This window comes from Homo sapiens, chromosome 16 (genome assembly GCF_000001405.40).
Source record: "Homo sapiens chromosome 16, GRCh38.p14 Primary Assembly".
In the NCBI taxonomy this organism is placed as follows: Eukaryota; Metazoa; Chordata; class Mammalia; order Primates; family Hominidae; genus Homo; species Homo sapiens.
The window spans coordinates 27389203-27402911 of NC_000016.10; the positions used below are offsets into that span (position 1 = coordinate 27389203).

At 41.4% G+C, this 13709-nt stretch overlaps 1 protein-coding gene across 4 annotated transcripts in view, besides 3 other annotated features; it reads left to right on the forward strand.

Moving 5' to 3' along the window:
- Positions 12972–13709, forward strand: part of IL21R (interleukin 21 receptor) — a 49869-nt gene continuing 49131 nt past the window's right edge. For all 4 annotated transcript variants that reach the window (XM_011545857.4, NM_181079.5, XM_017023257.3 and 1 more), the window contains exon 1: positions 12972–13416. The gene's annotated coding sequence lies outside the window, so the exon portion shown is untranslated. The remainder of the gene's footprint in view (positions 13417–13709) is intronic.
- Positions 13049–13591: an enhancer, noted in NCBI's record as "H3K4me1 hESC enhancer chr16:27413572-27414114 (GRCh37/hg19 assembly coordinates)". NCBI's record gives its function as "activates a minimal SCP1, AML or CMV promoter by ChIP-STARR-seq in naive H9 embryonic stem cells {active_cell/tissue: H9 hESC(naive)}" and the evidence as "EXISTENCE:reporter gene assay evidence [ECO:0000049][PMID:30033119]".
- Positions 13049–13603: a biological region, named in NCBI's record as "H3K4me1 hESC enhancer GRCh37_chr16:27413572-27414114".
- Positions 13484–13603: an enhancer, noted in NCBI's record as "active region_10620". NCBI's record gives its function as "activates an Ori minimal core promoter by ATAC-STARR-seq in GM12878 lymphoblastoid cells {active_cell/tissue: GM12878}" and the evidence as "EXISTENCE:reporter gene assay evidence [ECO:0000049][PMID:35858748]".

The window sequence follows — 13709 nt, forward strand, 5'->3', positions numbered from 1 at the left end:
AATTTTGGAAAGAAATTTACAAAATTCTTAGTCTTATCATCTGCTTAAATGATACCCCTATTAGTCCAGAGCCTAATACAAACCAAGATGAGCTTTTAAGGCAGGATAAACATATTCTTTCTGTGTTACTCATAACTGAGGGCACTATTTATTAGTTTTTTCTTTATATTCAGCCATCGCTCTTAAAATAAACCTGCTGTCTCAGGGTAACTGAGTGAAAAGGGGGTTCCCAGTTTCAGCCACATGTTGCGCACAATCCAGCCCTCTAGACGTCTCCTTCCTTTGTGGTTTGCTCCCCATGAAACATCCCCTGCCCTTTCTTGGCTGTGGCTCTCAGCAGACCATCTGGTCCATTACAGGAACCCCACAATGTTGGACCTCAGAAAGGAATGCATCAGTTAATACCACTGAACTTACACTTAAAATTGGATAAGATGGTACATCGTATTAGTCTGTTTTCACGCTGCTGATAAAGACATACCCAAGACTGGGTAATTTATAAAGAAAAAGAGGTTTAATGGACTCACAGTTTGATGTGGCTGGGGAGGCCTCACAATCATGGTGAAAGGCAGAAAGCAAAGGGCACATCTTACATGGCGGCAGACAAAAGACAATGAGAACCAAGTGAAAGGGGTTTCTCCTTATAAAACCATCAGATCTCGTGAGACTCATTCACTACCACAAGAACAGTATAGGGAAAACCACCCCCATGATTCAGTTATCTCCCACAGGCTCCCTCCCACAACACGTGGGAACTATGGGAGCTACAATCCCAGATGAGATTTGGGTGGGGACACAGCCAAACCATATCATACATGTCATGTGATGTGTATTTATTACAATAAAAAATTAATTTAAAAAAATGAATGGATGAGGAAGCGGTTGTCTGAGAAGAATTTTCAAAGATCTAAATAAATGGAGAGAGTGCCTATATCCAGGATTGAAAGTCTCCAAGTTTTTAAGGTGGTAGATTTCCTCAAACTGATCTATTGATTCAAGACAATCCTTGTCAAAATTCCAGTAGGAGTTTTTGCAGAAATTAGCAAGCTGAAACTTATATGGAATTTAATATTTATAATGGAAATGCAAAGGACTCAGAATGACCAAAACAATTCTGAAAAAGCAGAACAAATTTGGAAGACTTCTACTTCCTGATTTCAAAACTTACTACAAAGCTACAGCAATCAAGGCAGTAAGGTGCTAGTAAATGGATAGACATATAAAGCAATGAATCAGAATACAGGGTCCAGAAATTAACCCATATATTTATAGTCAATTATCAAAATAGGTGTCAGGGCAATTCAAAAGGGAGAGGGCAATCTTTTCTAAATATTGTGCTGAAACATTTAGATATTTATATGAAAAAAGATAAATTTAGATCATTACCTCACAGCATTCACAAAATTAAGTCAAAATCATAATTTTAAAAAGGTAAGGCTGGGCTCAATGGCTCACTTTGGGAGGTCAAGGCAGATGGATCACTTGAGCCCGGAGTTCAAGACCAGCCTGAGCAACATGGAGAAACCCCATATCTACCAAAAATACAAAAATTGGGCGGACATGGTGGTATGCACCTATAGTCCCAGCTACTCAGGAGGCTGAGGTAGGAGAATCGCTTGAACCCAAGAGGCCAAGGTTGCAGTGACCTGAGATTGCAGTGAGCCACTGGACTCCAGTCTGGGCAACAGAGCAAAACCCTGTCTCAGAAAATAAACAAATAATAAAAAATAAAAATGCAAGAGCTAAAACTATTAAACTTTTAGAAGAAAATATGAGAGGAGATTTTTGCTACTTTGGTATAGGTGAAGATTTCTTAGATATGGCACCCAAAGTCCAATCCACAAAAGAAAAAAATTGATAAATTGGGTTTCAATAAAATTTAAAAGGGTTATGCTTCAAAAGAAAAAAAACACCATTAAGTACATTATTTAAAAATGGCAGAGTAAGGAACTCCAAGGATCAGTTCCTCCACTAAAGCAAACATTAAGCTGGAAGAAAGTGTCAAAAGAAACTTTTTTGGAACCTGAAATCTAATCAAAACCCTTTAGCAACCAGAAAAGGCTGCTAATTCTTGGTAAGAAAATACTGTAGCATTTTTGCTTACTTGCCTACCATCTCACATTCATCAGCTTAGTCGTGGCTATGAGTACAGTAGCCTGCATTCTTGGCATGGCTTGCTGGTACCAGAAAGAACAACACAAGCCTTGGTCTCAAAGAATTGTGTTTCTACATTTTGATCTGTTTGGCATCTCCCTAAAGGATCCACTCAGGTGCTTGCCTTTGTTTTGCCCTCCCACTTCCCCTGAACTCTAGGCTGGAGCAGCTTCCCAGGCAATGTCTGTTGACAAACTTTAAAGACACACACTACCCATGTGGGGCAAAGGATGACAGACAAAGCAAAAAGCAGAGACCGACCAAAAAGCTGGAGAAGAAAAAGACTAAGGAGGAATGTATATGGGGGAATAAGGGCTTTGAAAAGCTTCCGTGTATACCAGGGAATCTAGAATATAACACATATGCCCAGGGCTGAAGTCATGCACAGAAATGATATGAGATGATCCTAGGCTTGCACCTCTGGCTAATTGGGCTCTGCACAAGCAGAGGTGAAGGCTAAGACAGAATTGTAGTCTGCCTGGCTAAGTGTAAAGGAGTATCCCAGCTCAGAGCCAATTTACAAAGACTAGGGGAGTATCTTTTATTTTGTTTTTCTTTTTGGCTGCAGGTATATAAGGAAACCTCTTACAGATCACTGACCAACTGCTGAGATAACAGAATGGAGATTTCAGTGAACATACACAAAAAGGGATATAGTCTTTGCAAAAATAGTTTGGAAAAGTCACTAAGTAAATGAATGGCTGAAGCTCACAGCAAATGACAAAAGCAAGCCTTGTGGACAGGGGAAGGGAGAATGTGATTTCTAGAATTATCACATTGTAACATTCAAAATGCCAAGTTTCCAACAAAAACCTATAACGTATACAAAGAAACAGGAACACCCAGCCCATTCACGGGGGAAAAATGGATAGAAAATGTCCCTAAAAAAGTCCAGACATTGGAGCTGCTAGACAAAGACATTAAATCAATTGTCTTAAATATGCTCAAAAAGCTAAAGGAAACCATGAGTGAAGAACTAAGTTAAACCAGAACTACGTGTGAACAAGTAGATAATATCAATAAGAGCTAGACATTATTTAAAATAACCAAATAGAAATTTTGGACCTGAAAAATATAATAGCCAAAATGAAAAATTTATTAGAGAGCTCCAACACCAGATTTGAGTAGGCAGAAGAAAGAATCAATAAGCTTGAAGCTAGGTAAATTGAAATAATCCAGTCTGAGGAGCATAAAGTAAAAAGGAATAAAAATAAACAGAGCCTGAGAGACCTGTGAGACAACAGAGCGAGACTCCATCTCAAAAAAAAAAAAAAGGTATAAACATATGCATTATGTGAATCCCAGAAGGAGGAGAAAGAAAGGACCAGAAAGAATATTTGAATAAAGGCCAAACATTTCCAAAATTTGATGAAAGGTATGAGTATATACATCCAAGAAGCTCAGTGAACTCCAACTAGGATAAAACCAAAGGAATCTACACCAAGACACATTATAATCAAACTGTTGAAAGACAAAGACAAATCGAGAATCTGGAGACTAGCAAGAGAGAAGTAACTTGTCACATACAAGGGGTCCTCAACAAGATTAATGACCAAAGTCTCATCAGAAGCCACAAGGCCAGAAGACAGAAGGATGATATATTTAAAGTGCTGAAGGAAAAAACCCTGCCAACTGAGAATTCTTTATCTGGCACAACTATCTTTCCAAAATGATTAAGAAATTAAAACATTCAAAGATTGCAAAAAAAAAAGGTGAAGTATTTCATCACTAGGAGGCTTTCCCTATGAAAAACACTAAAGGGAGTCTTTCAGGCTGAGATGAAAGGACACTAGGCAGTAAATCAAAGCCATATGAATAAATACAGAACACTAGTAAAGGTAAATATAAAAACTAGTATAATTATATTTTTGGCTTATGACTCCTCTTTTTGTTTCCTATATTATTTAAAAGATACATACATAAAAATAATTATAAATCTATGCTAATGAGCACATGCCACATAAAGATGTAGTTTGTGATAATGACAACAAAAGAGGGGGAGGGATAGGAGTAGAATAGAGTAGAGGGAGCTGTATAGGAGTAGAGTTTTTGTATTGCTATTTAAACCAAGTTGTTATCAATTCATACTATATTGTTATAAATTTCCTGTGAAGTGTAAACCTCAAGGTAACCACTAAGAAAATAACTAAAAATATACAGAAAAGAAATGAGGAGGCTATCAAAATGGTGCACTAGAAGAAAATCAATCAATACAAGAGAAGGAGGTAATGAGGGAATTGAATAACAAAAGAAAATTTGATATAAATGAAATGAATAGCAAAATGCAGTGGTAAGCCTTTTATCATGAATCACTTTAAATGTAAGTAGATTAAATTCACTGATTAGAAGACAGAATGGATTGACAGAAGGAATTAAAAAACATGATCCAACTACATGCTGTCTACAAGAGACTCACTTTATATCCAAAGACACAAATAAGTTAAAAGTGAAAGGATGGAAAAAGATATTCTATGAAAATAGAAACCAAGAGAGAGCTGAGGTGGCTATACTAATGTCAGATAAAATGAGTCTTAAGTAAAAAATTGTTACAAGAGACAAACAAGGACATTACATGTTGATAAATGTGTTAATTTGTCAAGAAGATTGGCCAGGTGGTGGCTCATGCCTGTCATCCCAGCACTTTGGGAGGCCAAGATGAGTGGATCACCTGAGGTCAGGAGTTTGAGACCAGCCTGGCCAACATGGCGAAACCCTGTCTCTACTAAAAATACAAAAATTAGCAGGGCACGGTGGTGCACACCTGTAGTCCCAGCTACTCGAGAGGCTGAGGCAAGAGAATTGCTTGAACTTGGGAGGCGGAGGTTGCAGTGAGCTGAGATTGCACCATTGCACTCCAGCCTGTGTGACAGAGCAACACTCTGTCTCAAAAAAAAGAAGACATAATAATTATGACCATACATGTGCTAAACATCAGAGCCCAAAAATATATGAAGCAAATATTGACAGAACTGAATAGAGGAATAGACAGTTCTACAATAATAGTTGGAGACCATCTAGACAGAAGACTAAGAAAGTAGGGGACTTGTACAACTATAAACCAACCAGAGCTAATAGACACACATAGAACACTCCACCCAACAATAACAGTGACCACAAAGTGCACATGGAACATTCTCCAGGACTGACTATATGTTAAGCCACAAAACAAGTCTTGATAAATTTTAAAAGATTGAAATCATATGAAGTGTCTTCTCTGATCACAATGAAGTTAGGTATCAATAGCAGAAGGAAAACTGGAAAATTTACAATTATGTGGAAATTAAATAGCATATTTTTAAACAGTCATCATGTCAATGAAGAAATCACAAGGAAATTAGAAAATACTTAGAGACAAATGAAAATGAAAGCACCAAAAACACACCCAGAATTATGGGATGTAGCAAAAGCAGTGCTAACAGGGAAATGTGTAGCCCTACATGCCTTCATTAAAAAAAAACAACAAATAAGATCACAAATCATAACCTAACTTTACTTTTAAAGGAACTAAAAAAAGAAGGACAAATGAAACCCAAAGGTAGCAGAAGGAAGGAAATAATAAAGATTAGAGTGCAAACAAGCAAAATAAAGAATACAAAATCAATAGAGATGAAAGAAACCAAGAGTCGTTTCTTCAAAAAGATTGACAAAATTGACAAGCCTTTAGTTGGACTAAGCAAAAGAAACAATACAAATCACTAAAATCAGAAATGGAAGTGGGAATATTACTACAAATCATACAGAAATAAAAAGGATCATAAGGGAGTACTGTGAATGACTGTATGCCAACAAATTAGATAATAATAGTTGTCAACTTAAATATTAAAGTTTGGTAACACAAACTGCCAAAACTGACTCAAGAAGAAATAGAAAATCTTAATAAACATACAACAAGTAAAGAGTTGAATCAAAAACCTCCCAATGAAGAAAAGTCCAGAGTCAGATGGCTACACTGGTGAATTCCACTAAACATTGGAAGAAGAATTAACATCAGTTCTTCTCAAACTCCTCCACAAAACAGGAGAGAAATCCAGACAAGAGAACCACAAGAAAACAAAACTACAGACTAATATTCCTTATGAATATAGATATAAAATTTCACAAAAATACAAGCAAACTAATTCTACAGCACATTAAAAGGATTATACAGTGTGACCAAAAAGGATTTATCCCAGGAATGCAAGGGTGGTTCAACATAAGAAAATTAATCAATACAATACATAACATTAATAGAATAAGAAAACCCACACGATCATCCAAATTGATGCAGAAAAGCATTTGACAAAATTTAACACCCTTTCATGATAAAAACACTCAGTAAAGTAGGAATAAGAGAGAACTCCCTCAACATGATAAAGACCATATATGAAAAACCTGGCTGGGCACAGTGGCTCATGCCTGTAATACCAGCACTTTGGGAGGCCGAGACAGGCAGATCACCTGAGATCAGGAGTTCGAGACCAGCCTGGCCAACATGGTGAAATGCTGTCTCTACTAAAAATACAAAAATTAGTTGGATGTGGTGGCACACACCTGTAATCCCAGCTACTTGGGAGGCTGAGGCAGGAGAATCACTTGAACCCATGAGGTTGCAATGAGCTAAGATCATGCCACTGCACTCCAACCTGCACCAGAGTGAGACTCCATCTCAAATAAAAAAGAGAGAGACAGAGAAAGAAGGAAAGAGAGAAAGAAAGAAAGAGAAATAAAGAAAGAAAAACCCGCAGCTAACAAGCTAACATCACACTAAATCAGTGAAAGACTGAAAACTTTTCCACCAAGATCAGGAAAGAGGATGCCCACTTTCACCACTGGTATTCAACATTGCACTGAAAGTTTTAACCAGAACAATTCAGCAAGAAAAAGAAATAAAAGGCATTCAAATGGGAAAAGGAAAGAGTAAAAACTACTGTTATTCGCAGATGACATGATCATATATATGGAAAATTCTAAAGAACGCACAAAGAAATTATTAGAGCTAATAAATTCAGCCAAGTGACAGGGTATAAGATCAACATACAAAAATAAATTGTGTTTGTATATACTAGCAATAAACAACCCCAAAAGGAAATTAAATAAATTCTATTTATAATAGCATCAAAAATAATAAAATACTTAAGAATAAATTTAACCAAGGAGGTGCAAGATTTGTACACTGAACACTATAAAATATTGCTGAAAAAATTAGAAAAGACCTAAATAAAGTTTTTTAAATTCTATGTTAATGTAATGGAAGATTTAACATTGCACTCCTCAAAGTAATTTATAGATTTAATGCAATTCCTATAAAAGTCCCAATGGCCTTTTTTAAAAAATGGAAAAACTGATCCTAAAAATCATGTGAAATTTCAAGGGACCCAGAAAAGCCAAAACAATAAAGTTGGAGGACTCAAATTCCCATTTTTAAAATTTACTGCAGAGCCAAGATTGTGCCATTGCATTCCAGCCTGGGCAACAAGAGCGAAACTCTGTCTCAAAACAACACAAAAACAAAAACAAAACAAAACAAAACTTACTGCAGAGCTACAGTAATCAAAACAGTGTGATAATCCTGGCACAAGGCTAGACATATAGATCAATGGAATTGAACTTAGAGTTCAGAAATAAACCCATGAATCTATAGTCAATTTTTTTTCATTTTTTTTGCATTAAAGCACACTATCAACAAAGTGAAAAGACAGCCACAGAATGGGAAAAATATTTGTAATTCATATATCTGATAAAGGTGAGTTTCCAGAATATACAAAGAACTCTTAAAATTCAACAACAAATGATGAACAATCAAATTTAAAAATTGGCAAGGAGCTGGGCACGGTGGCTTATGCCTGTAATCCCAGCACTTTGGGAGACTGAGGTGGGCGGATCACCTGAGGTTAAGGGTTCGAGACCAGCCTGGTCAACATGGTGAAAACCCGTCTCTACTAAAAACACAAAAATTAGCTGGATATGGTGGCACACGTTTGTAAGCCCAGCTACTCGGGAGGCCGAGGCACAAGAATCGCTTGAACCCAGGAGGTAGAGGTTTCAGTGAGCCAAGATCACACCACTGCACTCCAGTGTGGGAGACAGATCAAGACTCTGTCTAAAAAAAAAATAAAATAAATAAAATTTGGCAAGGGACTTCAATAGACATTACTCCAAACAAGATATGCAAATGACTACCAAGCACATGAAAAGATGCTTACCATCATTAGCCATTAGGGAAATGCAAATCAAAACCACAATGAGATACCACTTCACATCCGCTAGGATGGCTATAATAAAAACCAACAGAAAATACATATTGTCTGCTGGGTGCGGTGGCTCACGCCTGTAATCCCAGCACTTTGGGAGGCCGAGGCGGGCGCATCACGAGGTCAGGAGATCGAGACCATCCTGGCTAACACGGTGAAACCCCGTCTCTACAAAAGAAAATACAAAAAATTAGCCAGGCGTGGTGGCAGGCACCTGTAGTCCCAGCTACTCGGGAAGCTGAGGCAGGAGAATGGCGTGAACCCGGGAGGCGGAGCTTGCAGTGAGCCGAGATCGCGCCACTGCACTCCAGCCTGGGCGACAGACCGAGACTCCATCTCAAAAAAAAAAAAAAAAAGAAAAAAAAAAAAAAGAAAATACATATTGTCAAGGACGTAGAGAAATGGGAACCTTCAGACATTGCTGGTGGGAATATAATACAGGGCAGCTGCTGTGAAAAACAGTTTGTCAGTTTCTTAATAAGTTAAACTTATTTAAAAGTTAATAAGTTAAACTACCTTTAACTCAACAAGTCTCCTTCTGGGTATATATCCAAAAGATTTGAAAATGCATGTCTACACAAAGACTCGCATGCAAGTGTTCATAGCATGCTTGTTTGTAGTAAAGGAAAAAGTGGACATACTCCAAATGTCCATCATCTCATGAAAGGATAAATGAATGTGGCATATCTATGCAATGTAATATTCTTCAGCAATAAAAATCAATTTTTATTTTTTATTTTTTTGAGATGGAGTTTCGCTCTGTCTCCCAGGCTGGAGGGCAGTGGCACTAGCTCTGCTCACTGCAACCTCCACTTCCCGTGTTCAAGCAATTCTCCTGCCTCAGCCTCCTGAGTAGCTAGGGCTACAGGTGCACGTCACCATACCTAACTAATTTTTGTATTTTTAGTAGAACAGGGTTTCACCATGTTGGCCAGGCTGGTCTCAATCTCCCGGCGTGTGCAACCACACCAGGCTAATTATTGTATTTTTTAGTAGAGGCGGGGTTTTACCATGTTGTCCAAGCTGGTCTCGAACTCCTGATCTCAAGTGATCCGCCCACCTTGGCCTCCCAAAGTGTTGAGATTACAGGCATGAGCCACCGCGCCTGGCCTAAAAATGGATTTTTAGATATGTGGTGCCAACACACGCTACAACGTGGTTGAACCCCAAACACGCGATGCTGAAAGAAACTAAACACAAAAGACAACATATTGATATGAGATGCCTAGGAAAAAAAAAAAGCAAAATCAGTAGAGGCATAAAGTAGACGAGTGGCCCTGGGAATGGGAATGGAGATTGACTATAAGCAGGCACAAGGAACCTTTCAGGAGTGATGGGATTGTTTTAAAATTGGATCGTGGTTATAATTGCACAATTCGATAAATTCACTAAAAATCATTGAACTGTACATTTACAGTGGCTTGATTTTATGTTATGTAAAACATAGCTAAATAAAGCTCTTAAAATAAAAATAAAAAAGAGGAAATGGGTTGAGGGAGGGGGTGTGTCAATTATTTTTTCCCAGGAGGCCCCTTGGCTGAAATGCAAATGTGACCACTTCCTCCCCGCTGACCAGCTATCAGCACTGAGGCATGGTTGGAGGGCCGCTGAGATCCTATGGCACCTTCCTTCCAAGGGTATAGAGGCCATACTTATGAGACATTTACAGACCCAGAGGAACCCCTCAAGGGACCACATGTCTATTTCTGAGGGGACTCATGTTTACCCCAGTGGACATGGGCCTGGCAGCTCCAAATGCATCTACTTTTTAAGCACCAAGGGACTGTGACCCCTGCTGATCCCACCCATTCCCCAACTCCTGGCCTGAACTGAAAATGTAAACTGGATTAAGCCACTCTTAAGATGAAACCCTCCAATGATGACTTCCCATTTCCTTTGGAACAATCTACCTTCCTCACCCAAAACCGTGAGGTCCCATGTGGTGTAGATGTGTGATTTCCGTGCCTTCACCTTCTACTATTCCTCCATTTGCTCACTGTATTACGCCATGCTGTTCTCAAGTTCCTGGAGCCAGCCACATTCTTTCCTACCTCAGTGCCTTTGCACTTGCAGATCCTTCTGCCGATAATGTTCTTCCCATGGCTGGGCACTTCTTAGCACCTAGTGTACCCCCAAATGTCACAACCTTGATCTCTCATTGGTTTTCTATGACATTTAGTACAGTTTACATTGAGTTTGTCTGTTACTTCTTTTTGTCTAACTCTCCCTACTAGAATATAGGCTCCATGGGGGCTGTCACTGTGTGTATATTTCTGTGGGCTAGCCCCAGGATGTAGCCAAGCTGCGTGATTTTGGACAAGTCACTTAACCTCTCTGAGCCTGCTCAATAAATATTAGGGGGAGGAAGCAAGGAATGGCTGGGTGGGTGGGTGCAGAGAAGAATGAATGGGTGGATAGGTAGGTGGGTGGGTAGAAAGCAGGTAGATAAAGAAGGCAGGCAGGAGGGAGGGAGGAGAAATTGAATATCCTTGTTTTCATACACACCCCAGAGCAGTGTAGTGAGTTAAGAGTGCGGGCTCTGGAGCCCAAATGACTGAGTTCAAATCCCAACTCTGGCACTCATCAGCTGTGTGACCTTGGACAAGTCACTTAACCTCTCTGAGCCTCAGTTTCCTCATCTGTAAAACAGGGACGATGATGATGATGATGATAACTATCTTCTAGACTCATTCTTTTTCATTTTGGGGATTTTATTTTTGAAGACAGAGTCTTGCTCTGTTGCCCAGGCTTGAGTGCAGCACTACAGTCATAGCTCACTGCAGCCTTCAGCTCCTTGGCTCAAGTGGTCCTCCCACCTCAGCCTCCAGAGTAGCTGGGACTACAGGCGTGCACCACCATGACTGTCTAATTTTTAAATTTTTTTATAGAGACAGGGTCTTGCTATGTTGCCCAGACTGGTCTTGAACTCCTAGCCTCAATCGATCCTCCCACCTCAGCCTCCCAAAATGATGGAATTATAGGTGTGCACCGCTGCACACAGCCTTCTCGAGTATTTCTGAGGTTTAAATGAGAGGGTGCATCTTTAAAGTCCTTAAAACCCTGGCACACAATGAGCTTTCAGCAAATATTAGCTCTTTTTACTGTCTCTTCTCCTGATCTTTCAACCACTACAAATTTCAGTGCATGTTATCAGAGAATTCACCCCGAAGATCAAGAGAAAGAAAAACAAAAGCTGGTGTCTTCCCAAGGTTCGTTCTCCAGAGAACACGACACACTTCGGTAGCTGGGAAGAGCTCTACAGGGCCAGGATCCCTCAAATCAACCACAGGGGAATTTGTACCAAGTTCCTCAAAAACAGCTAGAAAAAAAAAGAAAGAAAGAATAGCAAGACGCTTTCTCTTTTTTCTCTGGAGTGGTCACGAAAGTCAACAGCAAGTTGATTCCCAAAAATGAGTCAGCAGGGAGAGCTACAAATTGCATCTTGTTATCAAAACAGCATAAAATAGCCTCCCCCAACTGTGGGACATTTCATCCTGGTATGGCCCCGTTTTCACAGCCTGGTATAAGCTTAGGAATCAAACACACCCAGGTTCAAATCCCAGCTCTAATTCTTCTTGGCTTGTGTGACGTTTCACTCCTCTGGGCCTCAGTCTCTCCATCTGTAAAATGGGACTAATCTTGTCTGCCTCACACTTTGTGGGATAAAGTGAGATCATGTAGGCACCAAAGTAATTCGAGGTGGTGGTGATGGCAGTGGTAGTGGTGGTGGTGGTAGCGGTGGTGGTGGTAGCAATTCTCTTGCTCTCCTTTGGAGACTGCACTAGGCATTAAGCTTGTTACATTTTGTCTCCTGGTTTCTTGAATGTCTTCCAGAAACATCTGACCCTCTCATGGGCCTCTGGCATGTTAGCAAGATGAAAACTCTCTTGAGAATTTCTTTTCTCTATTTTCTTCTTGAATTCTCATGTGTTAATGTCTGCCCTCTTCCTCATAGCTAGGTGCCCCCATTTGACAGATGGGCAAAGTGAGGCATTCAGAGAGGTGATGTGACGTGCCCAAGGGGTCCTGCTCCCTGGAGCTCTGCAGCAGGAGACTGGATCCAAAGGAAATGGAGGCAGAGAGGCATGGGGGTCAAGCCAGAGCAGAGGGTCCCAAGCTCAGACCCTATTAGGCAGGTAAGGCTCAGGAATAAGAAACAGGCTGGTTTGCAAAGTCTGAAAAAGGGGCTTCCGTGGGACCTTGGGCAAGGTTCTGGTCCTTCTCTCTGTGCTGAGGGGCTGGAGTCGGCCACTGAGGACTCTGGGTCCACGGGTGAAACTGTGCCACATCTTCACACCTCTGGCCTCAGTTTCCATATCTGTGCAATGTGGTGGCTCCAGGAGGCACTGCCTGCCTCATGGGTTATGACTGAGAGGCCTGTGGGGATGATGTCACAGGTCCCTAAGAGGGAAGTGTCACCCCGATGGCCCCAAATGTCTTACTTGCAGGTGACCTTTGGTGACAGTGGGTGCCTGCTGTGGGGCCAGGCCCCCTCCCACCTCTTTCTCACTCCCTCCCAGGAGGAGCCCAGCTGCGGGTGGGCGGGGCTGGCGGGGAGCGGCTCACCACATCCTCCTCTTCCTCCCCACTCTGCACATGCGGCTGGGTGGCAGCCAGCGGCCTCAGACAGACCCACTGGCGTCTCTCTGCTGAGTGACCGTAAGCTCGGCGTCTGGCCCTCTGCCTGCCTCTCCCTGAGTGTGGCTGACAGCCACGCAGCTGTGTCTGTCTGTCTGCGGCCCGTGCATCCCTGCTGCGGCCGCCTGGTACCTTCCTTGCCGTCTCTTTCCTCTGTCTGCTGCTCTGTGGGACACCTGCCTGGAGGCCCAGCTGCCCGTCATCAGAGTGACAGGTCTTATGACAGCCTGATTGGTGACTCGGGCTGGGTGTGGATTCTCACCCCAGGCCTCTGCCTGCTTTCTCAGACCCTCATCTGTCACCCCCACGCTGAACCCAGCTGCCACCCCCAGAAGCCCATCAGACTGCCCCCAGCACACGGAATGGATTTCTGAGAAAGAAGCCGAAACAGAAGGTAATTCCAGCCCTGGTTTTCTGCTGGGACCAGGGTGCCTTCTCTGCCCAGGAGGGACTGTTCCCTGCCTGCTGCATCTAGTGTCACAGTGGGAGGGCTCGGAGGACTGTGCCCAAGTCACAATTGGGGACACTGAGGCAAAGAAGATTCATGCAGTGAGGCTGGGCAGAAATGAGGTTGGGGTCTCTTGTTCAGCACAGCTTAGGGGCCCAGCAGCAGGGATGTGGCTGAGACGACCCTCTATCTTGAAAACCAGCCTCCAAAATGTAGCGGGCTGGGGAAGGAAAGCCAGT